Here is a 21955-nt window from a genome sequence, read left to right as displayed (position 1 = left end):
GACATTCCTAACCACTGTGTTGTTTAAGGGTTAACTGAATATAATTCTAAAATAAATATGTCAGTCTACTCTCAGATTATCTCTAAGTTTACCTCCAGCTTTATAGTAGTTCTAGGAAAAAATGACTTTGGATAACATTTAAACACAAAACACAACCTTTCCAGGGGGGAAAAAAGACATAAAATGTTCTTACCTCACAGTCTTATATGGCAGTAAATAAGGTCAAATTCATACAGTTCTGTTCTGAAGGTATAAATACAGGAATATGAAGGACTTTTCCCACTTTGCCTTACCTGCTTATGAGCATGGTCATAAGAATTAATATGATTGTCAAACTCCTGGTGTTTGTGATACTGCTTGTCACATAATTCACAGTAAAAGTTTGCCTTTACATCTTCCAGGGCCTTTGCTGTGGACTTCTTTTCTGCAAAATCCTTTAAGAAAAAATACATAAATGTTGGTTAGACTTCTCTCTAATAGCATAACCAGATCTCGTATTAATCAAGGTGGTATTTAACTTAAAGAAATATGACGGAGCACATTGTTTTCTGGGAATTCATGACACTGTGAGAATAACTTTTAGTTTTGCATCATCCCTAACTTATCAACTGACATATCATGATTTCTAAAGTAGCCCTGGTCTGGAGCTTGGTTTTTCCTCATCCTTCTTCTTGCCACCCATTTCTAGGTTGTGATTGTGCCTATTACCAAGCACATCACTGGCCATTCTTCTTTATATCCTCCATAGCCCTCTGTTTTTCTGATATTATCCCTTAAATTTTAGTGTCCTATGCAATTCTATCTTCAGCCAAATGATTTATCCATTTCATATGCTCTCCCATGGGTGTCCCCATTCACACTATAGATAGAGCCTGATGTATCCATTATGTTCAACATTGCCAAAGCCTCCTCCACAAGCATCAGTTCCTGCTGCACATTACCAATGGGTTTATGTCCATGTTCTTCAAAATATTCTCCTGAAAATTTGTAGTATGCTCCACTTAAAACAGTTTTGGCTACATAATTCTCCTGCTTAAAATCCTCTTTTGATTATAGAATCTCTTTGATTATAGAATAATAGTGGCAAATGTTTACTGAGTATAAACTATGCACAAGGTGTATGAATTATCTCATCATTCCTCACAACAACCCTATGAGTAAGGTTCTATTTTAGTCTGCATTATAGATGCATCAACCAGTGCTTAGAGAGATTACACACTCATGGGCTCCAAGTTAACAAGCGGAGAAGGAATTTGAATTCAAACAACCTATGCCTGGCTCCTTTGTTAGTAAACAGCTGTGATTTGCTATATTCCTTTAAAGCCAACCTTCTCAATATACCAGAAAAACTTCTTACCTTGCCTGTATCATATTTTATCAAACCCTGCTTCTATATTTTCCTCTTTAATTCTATTACCAGATATGTCACATAGCATTAAATTATCTGTTTTCATGTCTATTTATTCCACCAATTTTTTGAGGGAAGAAGCTATTTTATTCATTTTTGTTACACAATACTAAACAACATGTTGTCTAGCCCAGAATATGTGCTACTTAATATGCACTACGCAAATTAATGGATAATCATGGTTTATATATTTATGCCTCATACCATTCTATAACTTCTGCTCTATTATCCCAATACCAAATAAAAGAGTGACTGGCACTTTGAGAATACCAAGTAAATATGTATAAAGAATGAATGAACAAACTAAAGAATGGATTTTATCTTTGTTTCTCCAAAACGACTACCCTCAATAGAAAGAAATCGGGTCATAAGTGTACATCATAGGCAAATAGCTGACCAGAAAAGAAAGTAAGCAGAAATAATTTACGCATATTTTCAGAATGGGGTGAAGTAATGGGACAATTAATTTAGACGTGTGTAACATAATGATTTAAGCCCAAATATAAGAGGGTAAAACACATGGCAAAAAGAAAGAAGGGAATGATACCATTAACTAACAGCACAACTAGACCAAGTATATGGATTGCCTACCTAAGAGAGTTAAAGTAAGAATTTGGTTACATTCTAGAATAATGGAGGATATAAAAAATTAGTGGACAGGCTGTAGCCAGTAATGAGAATGGAGACTGATTTCAAGGTCAAAACCCAGTTGTTGAAAGAACTAGGAAAATTGCCAGCTGATACAATCACTATTGAGAAGTGAGACGGGAATACAGCATTGAGATGGTGCTAAATCCCTTGATTTAGTAGACTTAGAATCAAGGGAAACCATTATTTCTCCACTCTTTCTCACTAAGTTATTTTTCTTTTTTTGAGATGGAGTTTCACTCTGTCGTGCAGGCTGGAGTGCAATGGCGCGATCTCGGCTCACCGCGACCTCCCCCTCCCGGAGTTCAAGCGATTCTCCCGTCTCAGCCCCTCCAGCAGCTGGGATTATAGGCGCGCGCCACCGCGCCCAGCTACGTTTTTTTGTATTTTTAGTAGAGACGGGGTTTCACCATGTTAGCTAGGCTGGTCTCAAACTCCTCACCTCAGATGATCCACCTGCCGCGGCCTCCCAAAGCACTGGCATTATAGGCGTGAGCCACTACGCCCAGCCGGTATTTATTTATTTATTTTTCATGTCCTTTCTTAGTATAATCACAGGGACTGGATTGAAACTAGGGATTCCTTTGTTTTAATCATAGTTCTTATTTATTTATTTATTTATTTATTTATTTATTTATTTATTTATTTAGAGACGGAGTCTCTCTCTGTTGCCCAGGCTGGAGTGCAGTGGCGTGATCTCGGCTGACTGTAAGCTCCACCTCCCGTTTTCACGCCATTCTCCTGCCTCAGCCTCCCGCAGTAGCTTGCACTACAGGAGCCCGCTGCCACGCCCGGCTAATTTTTTGTATTTTTAGTAGAGGCGGGATTTCACCGTGTTAGCCAGGATGGTCTTGATCTCCGGACCTCGTGATGCGCCCGCCTCGGCTTCCCAAAGTGCTAGGATTACAGGCGCGAGCCACCGCCCCCGGCCTAATCATAGTTCTTCTTTCTTCCTTATGACAGCAGCCTTAGAAAACTGACAATGTTCTTAGACATTGGTCAACACTGCCTTAGTGCTCAAAAATACCTTAGCCTCATGAGCTGGTGTAGGGGAACAACTGAAAATTCAGGATAGATTTGAGGCTAAAAATGTATTTTTATATTCTTTCAGATTATGTAGGTGATTTTATGACAGTAGTTCAATGGTCAAGAGTGAATGTTTACCTTCATCTAAACATTCTATATTTCTAAAACGTTCTTTAAGTATCATATTGATGATTCTTAATTCAAAATTTTACAATTTTAAGACAGCTTCACCAAAATTTAAGTTTAATACCATCTTTTTCTGAACACTTATATTTTACAAGGTCGTTAGACTAAACTACATATCACATTTCTTGCTTCATTATTCTTGCCAGGAAATTATGCAGATATTCTTATCTTTCTTACCTCTAAGGTGCTAATGACAATCTCCAGGGCATATTCTGGCCTCTTTATTAAGAGAGAAAGAGTGAACAGGAGGAGTATAAATTCTACCACAAAACATACAAACATAGACTGAATTATAAGGATAGAAATCTCTATTATTTTTCAAAAGAGGCAACTGATATTTAGTAATTTCATGTTTTGTATAAAATCTAATGGCTAGGTAATGGTAAAGGGGGGCATGCTTTTCACTGTCTCCATGCTACCTCATCCATCCAACGATCTATCCACACATGTAACCATCCATTCATTCAACTGTTTATTAAGTATTCATATATTCAAGAATCTCTTATTTAGCAACTTCTAAATGTCAATTTCTTACTGGGTCTTACACTCATTAGTTTACAGTTTAATGGGAAAGAATTACATGTAAAGAGGTAAAAACTATAAGTTGTGATAGAGTGATAATCACAAATTGCTATTAAGGGTTACCTAGATCAGACTACTTAAGAATAATTAGAAGTTAATGTCTCTCTCACATAGCATTATATACACATTATTAGCACACACTATTTCTTGGCTTTTTGTTGAATGACAGGATACTTTTACTGAAAAAATAGGCCTGAAGGTAAATAAGACGATTTACTCTCTGAAATAATTACACAATCTTTAAATATATTTAGAGATGAAGTGTCATATATGAAAGGAGTAAAAAATGATGACCTATTCTCAGTATCAGTAAAGTTTTAAAATAAAGAAAGAATTATAGATACAAGATTTGATATATAATGAATTCATTCATTTGCCAGTTATTTAAATTTCCCTTCTTACAGTTTGCCTAGAGGAAGAGGTTTTGAAAGCTTATCTGACAGAAAAAAAATGTATGACATAAAAGAAAGCTTCTTGTTAATCACTCTCAATGATTCATTAAAGGTTGAAAATAAATTACAAATTGAATATTGAATATGACAGTTATCTTAACAAGAGTCATTTTTAAAACATTCGGTAATGCCAATGGGCATTTTTTGTTGTCATTCAGTATGAATTCTGTAGTATTTAATTACTTTTTATAATTAATGTTTTGGGTACAAGGAGAGAATATGTACTTTTTCACACCAAAAATTTTACATTAATGCGTAAAACACGTATGTTTTTTAAAGTGGCTAGTGTTGACTAGAGTAATGCACTTAGAAATATGAATGTTTGCTATCAAATTGTTACTATTATTGTAATTATTACACATTAACTCCTCATGAACTACATTGTAAACTAGAAATGTGCCAAGCACTTCACACTTGTTCACCCACTTAATCTTCACAATAACCCTATGAAGTATGTTCTATTATTATCTCATTTAAAGATATGGAAAATAAGGCACAAACATGTTTAGAAATTCATTCACTGGATTAAAGCTCAGATCTGCCTGACTTCAGAGGCGTGATTCACCATACTCAAGGCTGTTCCAATTGCTAAGCATTTATCCAGATGCCATATAACTCCAGGCTGTCTCCGCTAACTCATTTGTGGGTTTGGGATGATATGGAGCAGTTAACTCCCAGGAAGAGTGAGAGAACTAATTATAATTTTAAAAATGCATAATGCTCTTGAAGCTGAGAGATGGGTACTAGGAAAATGCAAGGTAGTAGTCTTGTTGCATTGGTTGTGAATATGTGCTCTGATTATGGAAAAGAAAGGGAAGAAATCAATTGCTGTTCTTCATAGCTCCTTATGGGTAATACCAGCACAGAGCTGTGAGAATTGAATTCATATTCTTTGCATGAAAGCCCACATTTGACCCTTCACTGTTATGTGTAAGAGATTGCTTTAAGAATTCTAATATTCTCTAACTCGTTCTATTATATTAGCCCCAAATGAAATCCTACTTCAAAGAGAGTGAATTTTCCCCTCTTCCAATCAAGTGGCTGCTGCTGAGTCAGAACACTCTTTTGGCATCCATCATCTTTCTGCATCTCTGTAACAGCTTGGATAACAGAAAACTTGCTTTGGAGGTTTCATTTACTTATTTATTCTGTTTTTATAATAGGAAAAAAAAATCTTTGTCTTTGAGACCTGACTAGCTTGAATGTCAGCCTCTGTCTTACAGAAGTTCAAACTCTACAGGTTTCAGTTATCTCAGAATAGATTAAGGGGGATAATAATAAGTAGCTTACAAGATTGTTGTGAAGAAAAAATTGGATAATTTTTAGGGAAGTACTAAGTATACCACATGGCAAATATAGGTGATGGGGCTCAGAATATGCCACCCCAAAATATGACTGTAGGAAACCTAACTATGCCACTCCAGTATGCCTCCTTAGCATAAGGATAATTGTGAACTAGTTATTTTAAGAAATTATAGACACAGGAGAAGGTTTGAAAAGTTACCTACCCTTTTCTAGATAAATTTACACCTATAAAGGAAATCTTTACTTGTAAAGGTGTCTCCTAAGACACCTAAGACAACCTAAGAGAGGGCTAGCTCTAAATTACTAGAGACTCTTAATCAATGGAAAAGGCATAGATTTAAATCTGCATAACAAACACTTTCCTGTTTTGTAGTAGCACTTTTCATGGGTCTTAACCTGACCTTTCACTGCGTACTTACCTTACCTTTCACTGCGTACTTCTTTGTTTTGGAGAATGATGATATTTAAGCCTGAAGTCTAAGACAATTGTTTGAAATTTAGTCTATAAGTTTATTTATTTCTCCAGGTTATCTCCCATGTGCACAAGAGGTATACATGTTATCAAACTTCTGTTTCTTATCTTGTTAATTTGTCTTTTGTTACAGGAAGTCACAGCAGAACGCTTGAGAAGAAGAAAATTATTTTTCTTCCCCTATATAGGTACTCAATGTTTGGATGTTCTGCAGTCTGTTTGTGTGTGTGTGTGTGTGTGTGTGTGTGTGTGTGTGTATCACTGAATGCATGTGACACTATAAAATTATTTTTCACAAAATACTATTTTCCCCTGAGTCTACAAAGCAAATTCCTGATGGAAATTTGGGCAGGTGAGAGGAATTTTTATCACCTTTAGTCCACTATCTCATACAAAGCTAGCAAATTTACAAAGAGAATAAAATACCTAGGAATACAGCTAACAAGGGAAGTGAGGGACCTCTTCAAGGAGGACTACAAACCACTGGTCAAGTAACTCAGAGAGGACACAAACAAATGGAAAAACATTCCATGCTCATGGATAGGAAAAATCAATGTCATGAAAATGGCCATACTGCTCAAAGTAATTTACAAATTCAGTGCTGTTCCCATTAAACTACCATGGACATTCTTCACAGAATTAGAAGAAACTATTGTAAAATTCATATAGATTCAAAAAAGAGCTTGTGTAGCAATGACAATCCTAAGCTAAAAGAACAAAGCTGGAGTCATCATGCTACTGGACTTCAAAGTATACTACAAGGCTACAGTAACCAAAACAGTATGGTACTGGTATAAAAACAGGCACATAGACCCATGGAACAGAATAGAGAACTCAGAAATAAGACCACAAATCTACAACCATCTGATCTTCAATGAACCTGACAAAAACAAGTAATTGGGAAAGGACTGGGAGAACTGGCCAGCCATATGCAGAAAATTGAAACTGGACCCCTTCCTTTCACCTTATACAAAAATTAACTCAATATGGATTAAGGACTTATATATAAAACCCAAAACAACAAAAATCCTAGAAGAAAATCTAGGCAATAGCATTCAAGACACAGGCACAGGCAAAGATTTCATGATGAAATTGCCAAAAACAATTGCAACAAAAGCAAAAATTGACAAATGGGATCTAATCAGAGAGCTTCTGCACAGCAAACAAACAAACAACAACAACAACAAAAAACCCACTATCATCAGAGAAAACAGGCAGCCTAAAGAGTGGGAGAAAATTTTTGCAATCTATCCATCTGACAAAAGTCTAATATCCAGAATCTACAAATAACTTAAACGAATTAACAAGAAAAAAACAAACAACCCTATTAAAAAGTGGGCAAAGGGCATGAACAGACACTCCTCAAAAGAAGACATTCATGTGGCCAATAAACATATGAATGAAAGCTCAACATCACTGATCATTAGAGAAATGCAAGTCAAAACCACAATGAAATACCATCTCTCACCAGTCAGAATGGAGATGCTTAAAAAGTCAAGAAACAACAGTTGCTGTCAAGGTTGCAGAGAAATAGGAATACTTTTACACTGTTGGTGGGAATGTAAATTAGCAACCATTGTGGAAAACAGTGTAGTAATTCATCAAAGATCTAGAACTAGAAATACCATTTGATCCAGCAATCCCATTACTGGGTATATACCCAAAGGAATATAAGTCATTCTATTACAGAAATACACGCATACCATGTTCATTGCAGCACTATTCACAATCGCAAAGACATGGAATCAACTCAAATGCCCATCAGTGATAGACTGGATAAAGAAAATGTGGTACATAGACACCATGGAATACTATGCAGCCATGAAAATGAATGAGATCATGTCCTTTGCAGGGACATGGATGGAGTGGAAGCCATTATCCTCAGCAAACTAATGCAGGAACAGAAAACCAAATGTCACATGTTCTTACTTATAAGTGGGAGCTGAATGATGAGAACACATGGACACAGGGAGGAGAGCAACACATACTGGGGCTTCTCCAGGGGTTGGGTGGGGGATGGGAGTGCATTAGGATAAACAGCTGATGTATGCTGGGCTTAATACCTAGGTGATGGGTTAATAGGTGCAGCAAACCACCATGGCACACGTTTACCTATGTAACAAACCTGCACATCCTGCGCATGTACCCAGGAACGTAAAATAAAAATAAAAATAAAGCTAGCAAATTTAATTTTCTTTGCATAATTAGGGTTTTCAGGAGTTTTTAATCTCTGTTTTTTTTACTTTTACCTATTTAAGAATTCCAAACATAGTCAAGAGAGCATAATATGTACTTAATTAACATTAATATTACTAATGTTGATTTCTCCAAAGTTATGATTGATTTCTTTCTTTTTTTTTTTTTGATATGAAGTCTCACTCTCACCCAGGCTGGGGTACAGTGGCATGATCTCAGCTCACTAAAACCTCTGCTTCCCGGTTCAAGCGATTCTCCTGCCTCAGCCTCCTGAGTAGCTGGGACTACAGGTGCATGCCACCACGCTCAGCTAATTTTTGTATTTTTAGTAGAGATGGGGTTTCACCATGTTGACCAGGCTGTTCTAGAACTCCTGACCTCAGGTGATCCACCTGCCTCAGCCTCCCAAAGTGTTGAGATTACAGGTGTGAGCCACCGTGCTGGGCTGATTGACTTCTTTTGTAAAAAGGATAGTCTTTGCATTCCACAACATCTAACATGGTACTTATTACTTAGAAAAACTCAGTAACTATTTATTGAAAAGTGAAATTAATAATAATAATAAAAAGGCAGAGAATGCTTTTCTCTTACACACATAGACAGTATGGCCTACCCTGGCAACACAATTCATATCACGGAGAATTAGACTGTTGGAATAATGTTAGAGTAGGTAGGTAAGTATAATTCCAAACACATGGTAGTTTTAGACTTTTAGAACAATCTTTTTTATGTAGATTCTGAGATCTATGTTGCATATTGAAGAGTTTTCCTAAAGTAATGGAGAGTGGCAATTGCACACAAATCCATAATCAGAACTGCAGATTCTTGTTTTCCAATGCTGTTCCCATTTTACCATAATCAATTGTTTTTCTTATAGTTCAGTGTGAACCAACTATCCATTAGCCAGACTTGGAATGAGACATAAACAAAATTTGACTTTTCCATCAATGCCCAGGTAAGGTGTGATGTCAGCCACTAACTAGTTTTGAAAGGGATTTTTTTCTCCTCCTATTAATGATTCATCAAAGATGCCCACATTAAAAGATAAATAAAAGCACATTAAACATGTGAAATTGTCTCTCGGTGGCGTTCCCTAGGGACAACTCAGCATTGTTTCTAATTTGGAAAGAATGACAAATTTCTGACTTACAGGCAGGATGCCAGACTGTTGACTACATTTCTGTACATGAAGAAACAATTAAATATTTAAAGTTTGCTTAAATAATTGCCTATTTTGGAGATGTTTCTTAACTGACTGCAATTGAACAGGGATTATTATTATTATTATTATTTTATTTTTTTGAGAAAGAGTCTCACTCTGTCGCCCAGGCTGGAGTGCAGTGGCGCGATCTCAGCTCACTGCAAGCTCCGCCTCCCAGGTTCAAGTGATTCTCCTGCCTCAGCCTCCCGAATAGCTGGTACTACACGGGCCTGCCAGCTCGCCCGGCTAATTTTTTGTATTTTCAGTACAGACGGGGTTTCACCGTGTTAGCCAGGATGGTCTCGATCTCCTGACCTTGTGATCCACCCACCTCGGCCTCTCAAAGTGCTGGGATTACAGGCGTGAGCCACCGTGCCCAGTCTAAACAGGGATTATTTTTTAGGAACACATGCATTTCTGTTAGGACCACAGTTATCAACGTTGGCCACCACCAATTTCATCTTCCTCAGCATGAATTAATATACAGTTCCTCCACCAGAAAAACAAGTTAGAAAGGAAATAAGGAAGTGCAGGTGAATCCAAAGATAATCATAACAGCAGCTACTGCTTTATTGCTTAATCGCTTAATCATGCTTATCTGTCTAATGGAAGGAAAAAGAGGGAAGATATAATTTCCAGATTTCTTAATGATCAGATACAGATGCTACATTGCACAAGTTTATAAAGGCTGTAGATTGTTTTGCAGAGTTGCTTAACAACCAATAAAACAGGGCTAGGCGCGGTGGCTCATGCCTGTAATCCCAGCACTCTGGGAGGCCAAGGCGGGTGGATCACGAGGTCAGGAGATTGAGACCATCCTGGCTAACATGGTGAAACACCGTCTCTATTAAAAATACAAAAAAATTAGCCAGGCGTGGTGGCTGGCACCTGTAGTCCCAGCTACTCGGGAGGCTGAGGCAGGAGAACGGCATGAACCTGGGAGGCAGAGCTTGCAGTGAGCCGAGATTGTGCCACTGCACTCCAGCCTGGACGACAGAGAGAGACTCTGTCTCAAAAAAAAAAAAAAAAACCCAATAAAATAGTAAATATAACACACATAAACCAATGAACTTTTGCTGACACAACGCAGTATTAGCCCACCAAAATGGAAAGACTATCAGTTTCTCTAATACAGAACATATCAGCGCTCACCAGTAAAATCAGACAATATCCTTGAGTGAGGAAGGAAAAAGAGTGACTAAAAAATATGCATATTAAGCCTGAGTCGGGAAAACGCTTGAAGCAATTAAATTACAGTGAATTCTTGACCTAGAGTTTATGTTTACCAAATGTCTATTAAAGAATACATGAATTAATAAATGTAGTGACTGAAAGAACGAATACATTTGACTGATTGATTGATTTATTTTTATCCAGTTATTTAATATGCTAAAGGGGAGAGAACTGGAATTCCTGAAATATATATGGTGGTATAAAAACTCATATAACTGTAAAACACAAAGACTGAGTCTTAATGTAAACTGTAGATTTTGCTAATAATAATGTATAAATACGGGTTCATCAACTACAATATACTAACTGATATTGTTTGGCTCTATGTCCCCACCCAAATCTCACCTTGAATTGTAATAATCCCCATGTATCATGGGAGGGACTCAGTGGGAAGTAATCAAGTCACTGGGGGTGGGTTTTTTCCTGTGCTGTTCTCATGATAGTGAATAAGTCTCATGAGATCTGATGGTTTTATAAAAGGGAGTTCCCCTGAACATGCCCTCTTGCCTGCAGGCATGTGAGATGTGACCTTGCTCCTCATTAACCTCCTGTCATGATTGTGAGGCCTCCCCAGCCATGTGGAACTGTGAGTCAATTAAACTGCTTTCCTCTGTAAATTACCCAGTCTTAGGTATGTCTTTATTAGCAGCATGATAGCAGACTAATACAGTAAACTGGTACTAGTAGAGTGGGGTGCTGCTGTAAAGATACCCAAAAATGTGGAGGCCACTTTGGAACTGGGTAACAGGCAGAAGTTCAAATAATTTGGAGGGCTCAGAAGAAAACAGGAAAATATGGGAAAGTATGGAACTTTCTAGAGACTTGTTGAATGGCTTTGACCAAAATGCTGACAGCAACATGGACAATAAAGCCCAGGCTGAGGGTCTCAGATGGAGATGAGGAACTCATTGGGAACTGGAGCAATGGTGACTCTTGTTATGTTTTAGCAAAGAGACTGGCAGCACTTTGCTCCTGCCATAGGGATTTGTGAAACTTTGAACTTGAGAGAGATGATTTAGGGCATCTGGCAGAAGAAATTTCTAAGCAGCAACCCATTCAAAAGCTGACTTGGGTGCTGTTAAAAGTATTCATTTTTGTGGGTTTGTTTGTTTTTTGTTTTGTTTTTTGAGATGGAGTTTTGTTCTTGTGACCCAGGCTGGAGTGCAATGGCGTGATCTCAGCTCACTGCAACTTCCACCTCCTGGGTTCAAGCAATTCTCCTGCCTCAGCCTCCTGAGTAGCTAGGATCACAGGCACCAGCCACCATGCCTGACTAATTTTTGTATTTTTAGTAGAGACAGGGTTTCACCACATTGGCCAGGCTGGTCTCGAACTCCTGACCTCAGGTGATCCACTCTCCTCGGCCTCCCAAAGCGTTGGGATTACAGGCATGAGCCACCGTGCCTGGCCAGCATTCAGTTTTATGTATTCACAAATACATAGTTTGGAAATGGAGCTTATGTTTACAAGGGAAGCAAAGCATAAAAGTTCAGAAAATTTGCAGCCTGATAATTCAATAGAAAATAAAACCCCATTTTCTGGGAAGAAATTCAAGCTGGCTGCAGAAATTTGCATAAGTAATGAGATGCAAAATGTTAATCGCCAAGCCATGGGAAAAACCTCTCCAGGGCATGTCAGATACCTTCATGGCAGCCCCTCTCATCACAGGCCCAAAGACCTAGGAGGGAAAAATGGTTTTATGGGCCGGGCCCAAGCCCCTCTTCCAGTGTGCAGTCTTGGGACTTGGTGTCTTGTGTCCCAGCTGCTCCAGCCATGGCTAAAAGTGGACAAAGTACAGCTCAGGTCATGGCTTTAGAGGGTGTAAGCCCCAAGCCTTGGCAGCTTCCACGTGGTATTAAGCCTGCAGATGCACAGAAGTCAAGAATTGAGATTTGGGAACCTCCGCCTAGATTTCAGAGGATGTATGGAAATGCCTGTATGTCCAGGTAGAAGTTTGCTGCAGGGGTGGGGCCTTGTGGAGAACCTCTGCTAGGGCAATGAAGAAGGGAAATGTGGGATTTGAGCCCCCCACATAGAATCCCCACTGGGAAACTGCCTAGTGGAGCTGTGAGAAGAGGGCCACCATCCTCCAGACCCCAGAATAGTAGATCCACCAACAGCTTGCACTGTGTGCCTGGAAAAGCTGCAGACACTCAATGTCTGCCCATGAAAACAGCCAGGAGGGGGAATGTACCCTGCAAAGTCACAGGGAAGGAGCTGCCCAAGATCATGGGAACCCACCTTTGGCATCACTGTGACCTGGATGTGAGACATGAGGTCAAAGGAGATCATTTTGGAGCTTTAAGATTTGACAGCCCCACTGGATTTTGGACTTGCATGGGGCCTAAACCCCCTTTGTTTTCTCCAATTTCTCCCATTTGGAATGAATGTATTTAACCATTGCCTGTACCCACTTTGTATCTAGGAAGTAACTAAGTTGCTTTTGATTTTACAGGATCATAGGTGAAAGGGACTTGCCTTTTCTCAGATGAGACTTTGGATTTGAACTTTTGGGTTAATGCTGGAATGAGTTAAGACTTTGAGGGGCAGTGGAAGGCATAATTGGTTTTGAAATGTGAGGACATGAGATTTGGGAGGAACCAGGGGCAGAATGATATAGTTTGGCTCTGTGTCCCCACCCAAATCTCACCTTGAATTATAATAATCCCCATGTGTCATTGGAGGGACCTGGTGGGAGGTGATTGAATCATGGAGGGTAGGTTTTTCCTGTGCTGTTCTCGTGATAGTGAATATAAATTATGAGATCAGATGGTTTTATAAATGGGAGTTCTCCTGCACATGCGCTCTTGCCTGCTGCCATGTAAGACATGACCTTGCTCCTCATTCGCCTTTCGTCATGATTGTGAGGTCTCCCCAGCCATGTGGACCTGTGAGTCAATTAAGCCTCTTTCCTTTATAAATCATCCAGTCTTGGGTATGTCTTTGTTAGCAGCATAAGAACAGTCTAATACACTAACTCACCACACAATGCCAAATAATAATAAGAGAAACTATTTAGGGTTGGGCAGAGTGTATAGGAACTATGTGTACTTGCTTTTTCTAATTAGCAGACTATATTTTTAGAACAGTGTTCTAAAAATAAAAGTATTCAACAAAGTCACATTTTAATAGTCCTACCTTCATTGAACTCAGAAAACAATGTATGGTATAAGAATAATCAAATCCATGCCACATGATGACTACAGCTGCACTGCAGGCATGCAGAATAACAAACATGAGACTTACTTTGCATGAAGAGATTTTGAGACTCTCAGTTCCCCTCCATCATATCCCATGAGACCAACCCTTTGCAACCCTCCGGAAAAGCAGGACCTACTGAGTGATCATGTTTACAATCATTAGGTCCACTGGAAATTCAAGGGTAAAATCTTTATGATTGGAAGAAAGATTTTGGAATGTGTCTACTGTGTGGGTGTGTGAAACATGATAAGAAAATGAGTTTTCTTCCTCCAGACTCACAATGCTGTTCCATTTATAAAGGTAGTAATTACCACCTCATCAATTCAGCCCACAGGTAGGTATAACTGTAATGAATATAGACATATTGCATTCATCTAAATTGAATACATTTAAATGAATATATCTATTGTGCATTAGACAGGAAGTACTTTCGTTTAGCCATTACTCCTGATGTAGCTACTTATTGTAAAAATGCAATTAATAGCATCTGACATTTCATTTTCTAATATAAGAAAAGTCAATGAAAAACGTTGGACAACTAAGTTTTCTGGAAAGTTGCTAGTGATACCTGCTCAGTTACAAACCATTTTTCTTTTAATTTAAAATTTGTGAGAGTCATCTATGAGAGAAATGACCATTAAACAATGCTGATCTAGCCACTGCTTCACCTTTCCTTGGGAATTGATTGCAAATATGTTCCCTTCAAATAGATTCAGTGAATTTCAAGTAAGATTTCCTCCTCTGAACTTCTTAAATTGTTCTGGTATTAATCTCTGCTGTGTTTATGTTCTACATGTGCTAAACACAGGCCTGCAAACTCCTAAGATGACATATTAAAATAGTATAAAGCCAATGGCTTTGCTTTTAAGAAAAAGCAAGTCAGATGAATTACAAAACACCAAGGACATCTCTCTATTCTCCTGAACGTCTGCTATTATGTCTAATAATAAGTCTGCTGCTTGGTTTACTTGTTCTGTACCAGAGATGTTTAAAAAGTGATTGTGTTCACAAAGGCACACCATTATTTCAAACTGGCGGCTCCAGGCTTCTATCTGTTGAAATTCTAGTGGGTAATTTAATTTCAAACTTAGAGAATACTAGAAATTGTGAAAAAAATTATGCTTTACAGAAGCTCTATGTCTTAAATCTAAAATACTAACTTTAAGCTGAGAAAATGTGCCAAAGTGAGAAAAAAATTTAAAAAATGCTAGTTTACTTTGAGAGAAAGATATTTACAAGGGCCAAAAGAGCCGCTATAAACTACTTATGCTTGTCTATTAAATAGTCTTCGCATACAACTGCAAAACTTGGATAAGTGACGTCAGAAAACCTCAAAAAGAAGTTCTGTACATCAGTTTATGCACATATACCTGCATTTATGAGAACTAACTAAAAATGCTTGTGAGCTGGAGTCAGAAAGCCTAATTATCTGGAAACTGGGGCCAATGTTTATCTGTATTCTAATGGCAGCGCTGATGGTGTAGCCCACCCATACTGTGGCAAACAGCCTACATTTGTCCAAGATTGTCACAGCTGCTTCAGCTCTTGGAGAATCCATACTTACTGTTACCACTGGTGTCAACTCAACAAGCCATACTGAGTTGGGCTCCAATCTATTCTGTATGTGCATTTGTGTGAGTATGTACATGTGTGTGTATGTGTGTGTGTGTGCTGTGTAGAGAACTAGTCTAAAAAGAGACGTATTGTAGCTACAATACGTCTAGAATACGTCTAGCTACAATACGTCTATTGTAGCTACAATACGAATAGAAGTTGTGGGCCCATTGTAAAAAAGTAAAATAGAAAGTTAGAATAATCACACAGGTAGGTAATTGGAAGCAATCTCCACAATCTTTTAAGAAAATTAATCCAGGAAAAGTTCTTTGGCTTGTCAAACGTTTATGCAAGATGATAAATAGCAGATCTGGAATGAGAATTCAAGTCCTGACTCCTGTCTTTGAGACCAATGGCAGAGCAATTAATTCAGGAGGGTCTATTTCCTCATCTGGAAAATGAGGTTGGTCTAAGGAATAGAATTTTTGTGTCTCTAAAACTCAAGACATATACATGGATCTCTGGAATCTTTAAAATGTAGATGTAGAATTTTTTTCTTTCTTCAAACCATGTAATCAAAATCAAAGTCTATTTAACAACATATTTAGAAATAACATTCATATTCTTGGGATGCCATAGATAAAAGTTTTCTGTTTCAAGCCATCTCCTAGAGAAGACAGAATCATCCCCAATAGAGACCTCCTCTTTCCTTTATCCCCCTAAGCTTTAAAAAATGCATTTAGAGTTTTGCTAGTCCATAGATCACTAGTTGTAGCTATAATAAATTCAGCACTGAACTTAGCCAGTTCTAAAAACTGGTTTTAGAAAGGAGGAAGCTACACCTTTCTCTGATATAGGAGGGATGTCTAACATGAAAGGAAAACATCAAATCAAAAGATAAAAGAATTCACACCTAAAATTATTTTTAAAATTGTCTTCACATTTCTATGGTGCTCTTGAAAGAGCCTGGTTTAGGGTAGGGATTTAGTTATGATATGAATGCTTGGATGAGTTACTGTGCCATTTTACTGTGCATGATAATAATACACAATCCCTATTTTCAAGAAACTCACAGACCACCTGCAAGGATAGGATTAATTCATAAGATACAAAGGACAACATAAAGGGTACAAAATCGTATGTTAGGCATTTAAAGTACTGTGTGTATTTAGAGAAAGGAAATAGTCATGCTGCTCTGGAACACAGGTACATACCTAAGCAGAATAAGCCTCATTAAGTTACAATTTTATAATGGGTCTAAATTAATAGGCTTGAATTTGACTCTTAGATATATAAGAAATGAATGACACTTGATGAGATTTTTAATTCTGGGGCTTAAGAAGGTGACCAAAGTATTCCTGAGAAATAATAAACCTACATTTGGTAATGAGAATGATACAGATTTTACTCCATGTATTAATAAAGAGGAAGTCATACAAACTTTAGAGAGTATATTATTACTATCTCCCATTTTCTCTTTTATTACAGCTGGTCACTATTTCTGACCAGTAGCTTAGGTAGTAGTTATGATCCTTTTCATATTATTCCACTACATGCTCCTTTTGATTATTTTCCCAGCACTTCTTTCTTGGACTTTCTGCTTCTTGGAAGTCTCGGCTTTTGGTGGACCAATCAACCAAGTAGTGTACAATATATCTAATAGGTAATATTTCATCCCTCACTCTCCTTCCAATGCTGACACTTTTGGAGTCTCCAGTGTCTGTTATTCCATTTTGTATGTCCTGAGTTCACTTCGAATTGGTCAAAGCACAAGTAAGTGATTTTAAAAATTGATTTCTATAGAATCTTTTGCTTCTGTCCATTATGCTATAAAAAATCCTAATTCTGGAATTTGTCAGCTTACATGCTCTGTTACTACTCTGGGTTGGAATCTGTGTCCTCATTAGTGGTTATATTTATCAGCAAATCTCTATTCTGTGAAACTGCAGTGATGGCAGGGAACATTTACACTCTTTTTAGTAGAAAATGTCTCTTCTGTAATATAAAATGAAAAAAATAACTTTCATTGATAAGAAACAACTATATCTTAAAAAATCTAAATAAATACGATGAAGCTTTCCCTAAGAGTGTCAGCAAAAGCTCAGATAAGAATCTGCCTCTTCATTAGTTGCATGCCTGAATATCACTATGGTTTCACACTGGAATGCCCATGTAGGGAGGAATGCCAAGTGAAAGAAAAAAGGGGAAGTAAAACATACATGAGAAGTATGATGAAAACATGGAGATAGAAAGAGAAAACAGATGCCTCAGGTGGGCAAAAGAATCCAGATTTCCCTTGTGACCAAAGGGTAAAAAAGAAAATGAATGGAGGAAAGAATCAGGGTTGCGGTGCTGTAAAGTACAATTTAAAAATCATATGTTGGCGGTGGACAGAAGAAAGAAACCATAAATGATTTCCTCAGTCCTAGATAATTTTTTAGCCAAAGGCTATTTGTGTGGGAGTGGGGGACATATTTCTTCTAAGATTGTTCATGATTTGAAATTTATTGGTAGAAACTTGAAAGTATAGGAAGGTCAACAATATTTACATCTATGGGCATCAATATTTTGTTGTATCAATCTTCACCTTGACATTCTCTGGGTCTGATCAAAATCATCAGTGCTCCTTGGTAAGAAGTTTGTCGTCATGAGACATTTTTCAGGAGTCTAAGTATTTGTAGTAAATTTAAGAGGAGATTTATGATCTCAGCTGGAGATTCTACAAACCAGGACAGGAATCCTAAGGGTGGAAATAAATTCACCAACTATGTATTAAACTCTTACTGTGTTAGGGGCTATAGGAATTGTATATGACTTGGAAGGTATTGTCCCTATATTAAATAATGTATAGTTAACTAATAGAGATAAAACTTGAGAAACGAAGGAAGCATGTTACATCTAATTAAGAGTAAAGAGCATTTGGGTTGTACAGAGATTGGGACAAAAGTCTTTTAATCCAAGCTCAACCATATGCAAACTCAATGATCTTCAGTGCATCACTTAACCTCTATAAAATGAGGATAACAATATCACTCTCACAGAATGGTTCTAATGATTAAATAAGTTCAAACATGAAAAGCACAAGGCACAGTTCTGAGCACCACACAAAGGTGAACAAATACATTTTTAAATATATATATGTATATTATAGATGTATTTATATCTATATATGTGTATATATAACATATACACACATATTGTATAATATACACATATACCTATATATTATACATATATTATATAATATACTACATATATAATGTATACATATATTATATATACACACACACATATATGGATGTTTATATGTATATGTATGTGTGTATATGTATATAAAATGTCATAAATTCTGAGGAAGTGACAAAAATAGAAAGATGCCAGTAGGAATAATATCTAGGAACATCTGAGTTTTGAAACTAGTTATTAAAAATGAAAAGGCAGTACATCCTTGTGGTTAGGAGTATCGTTCTGGAGTCAGCCTGAGTTTAAATCAGAGCTTCGGTTTCTCATGGGTGTGGGGCACTCAGCAATTTGATCTGTTTTGTCATCTGTTAAATGAATGTGTAAGTGTAACTAACACATCAGGCCAATATATTGATTATAGAAACAATTCAAGTAAATACTTAGTATAGTAAAAGCCTTATATTTCTATTATGCTGTTAATTTGTTCATATTTCCTAAGTTTTGTTTTGGGTTATTTTGTCTTTTTCAGATTTTAACAGCAATATAAAAACATGACATTAGATTTGAATGTGCTGTACTGTAATAATTTTTTAAAAATTGGCAGGTTAGAGTAGAAGAGTCTGGTTTGGGAATGGAGTCTTGCAGGAGTTTTGAGGATTGCCCTGAAGAATGCTGACTCCAGTGGGAAAGGGAAAGCCTGGCCTCCCATAACTGGCACCCAAACAATGTAAGTAAAGAATGGGCCCACAAAGCCTAATAAAAAGGATTTCTTCCCACAAGGAAGAGATGTAGTTATCTGTACCCAACTGAGTGATACACTATATGGATAACAAGTTTTTCTTCCAGTGGGGCCAGTCTTTGTGCTGCAAACTAAGAGAGGGAAGAAAAAATCCTGTGCAAGCAGAAGCCTCAGCCAGACACTTAATCATGGCCTTTTAGGGACACCAGTGCCCTTTATTGCTGACTTTTTTACTTCTAAACTCCTTATGGCTCCATATTCCCGATAAGTTACTTGTTAGAAATAATGTTCTTTGCATTAAACATACATTTTCCTTACTGAAAACAGGCTCTGCTTTCTGCTACAGATGGTGAGCTAGCATCCTGACATGACCTTTTGCTACTGTGTCTTTTGGATTTCTGCCTTTGGCTGGAGTACACATGGACTAGGTTTTTTGTTTTTCTGTACTTGTTTTTGTTATTGATAGAAAGCTTTATATATTTTCTATTGTATTCTTACTACTTTATAAAAAAGCAGTTATTTAAAATTTTATCAATTTATAACAGATAAATCTACTCAAAGATGAACAATAAATAATGTTTAATCACTCTGTAATTACATGTATTAACTTTTATTGCATTTACAGTGAAAATATTCCTTGAGTAGTGACAGGTAACCTCAAGGTCACATTATTTTTTATTTAGTATAAAACACACTAGCTTATAGTGTTTTTCACTAATTGCAATGTGATCTAATTGATTCTATAATGCTTTCATTAGAAGAAAATATGTAGTCTTACAAACGCTATTAATATTATTGTAAACATAAATAGTGAGCATGAACATGCAAGGTGATTAGAAATTACTTTGGGCTTTATGCATTTACTATAAATAGTAAAATGAAAGGTATCAATTTATAACATTTCTAACTAAAAGAATGTCTAGATTCACACCAATTATTTTGCCTGTTTAATAGTTAAAAGCTTTAAAAATTACATATGACTCCATATGTGTGAGTAGCATTTCCATAAACTATCCCCATTTTAACCTATATGCCTTAAATCATATCATTAGTTGATCAAGCTAGTATTGCAATAAAAATATGTATTTGCAAAGATTTAATAATCTATTTGCAAAGGTTTAATAATCCGTTTGTTTGCTAATCCTATTGTTCATTTAGTGAATATTTTCATGAAAACTTGGACATTCTAAGGTCAGTGTTCTACTCATCAATATTTAATGGCCAGATCTGTATGTGGAAACATACTAATAAGGTGTCATTATTTAAATAACTTTTAGTAATGTCTAAGCATCCAATTTGCTACTCAATTGAAGAATAATTTATTCACATAGAAATGAGGTATTTCTTCAGTATTCAAAACTAAAGTGTACAAAAATGTCAACTATCTTTAACTAAAGATATCTTTAACTCTATATAACGAAACTAAATCTAAATCCACTAACCTGTGCATATACTATTATAACAAGAAAAGGAAAAATCAAGAATCTAAGCGTGCTGTTAAGAGAAAAATATAAATTCTAATGAGTAACCGAGTGACATAGATTGAATCAAGATCTAAGATTCCTGGTTTTCTCATAATTAAAATTTCAAAAGTGCTTCTCTTTTTATTTTCATGTAGCAGTTACAAAAAAGTAGATAATATGAAAACTCTTATAGTATATACAAAATATTATAATCAAACAGCCAATGGAAGAAAAGAGGAAGAAAAATGAAAGGATTTTTATGCAGACTACATTACTTAGTGGAAGACAATTTGCAAAAGGAAGCCATCAACAAAGGCAGAGCTGGTAGTGTCACTTTTATTTTCACATATTTTGCATCTGCTTTTTATTTTCTTCCTGTCAGATTTTTGTGGCAACGCATATTGTCCCTGGAAAAACTTTTAAAACTGCTGCAGTCAGGCACTGAGGCCTTTTTGTTCTGTTCCGTTTTGTTTTGTTTTAGGTGTTAGTAGTTGAAAGATATAAAGATAATTTTTTTTCTTCAGCTTTTATTTTAAGTTCAGGGCTATCTCTGCAGGATGTGCAGGATTGTTACATAGGTAAATGTGTGACACAGTGGTTTGCTGCACAAATCATCCCATCACCTAGGTATTAAGATTGCTGGGTCAAATAGTATTTCTGCCACTAGCTCTTTGAGGAATCACCACAGTCTCCCATAATGGTTGAACTAATTTACACTCCCACCAACAGTGTAAAAGCATTCCTATTTCTCTGCAAACTTGCCAGCATCTGTTGTTTTTTGACTTTTTACTAATAGCCATTCTGATTGGCGTGAGATGCTCTCTCATTGTAGATTTGATCTGCATTTTTATAATGATCAGTGATGTTGAGCTTTTTTTCATATGTTTGTTGATCGTACATATGTCTTATTTTGAGAAGTGTCTATTCATGTCCTTTGCCCATTTTTTAATAGGGTTTTTTTCCTGTTATTTTGTTTAAGTTCCTTGTAGATGCTGGATATTACCCTTTTTTGGATGGATAGATTGCAAAAATGTTCTCCCATTTTGTAGGTTGTCTGTTCACTCTGATGATAGTTTCTTTTGCTATACAGAAGCTCTTTAGTTTAA

General features: G+C 36.7%; 1 protein-coding gene across 1 annotated transcript in view; it reads right to left on the bottom strand.

Annotated features, from left to right (window-relative positions):
• ZNF804B (zinc finger protein 804B) overlaps positions 1 to 21955 on the bottom strand; it is a 578829-nt gene that overhangs the window by 119940 nt on the left and 436934 nt on the right. The window contains exon 2 of the mRNA NM_181646.5: positions 294 to 434. Within this exon, the coding sequence (NP_857597.1) occupies positions 294 to 434 (141 nt within the window). The remainder of the gene's footprint in view (positions 1 to 293; positions 435 to 21955) is intronic.

The sequence above is a fragment of the Homo sapiens genome, chromosome 7, assembly GCF_000001405.40.
Source record: "Homo sapiens chromosome 7, GRCh38.p14 Primary Assembly".
In the NCBI taxonomy this organism is placed as follows: domain Eukaryota; kingdom Metazoa; phylum Chordata; class Mammalia; order Primates; family Hominidae; genus Homo; species Homo sapiens.
The sequence above is the reverse complement of the archived record's forward strand: the minus strand, read 5'-3'. Positions and strand labels throughout refer to the sequence as shown.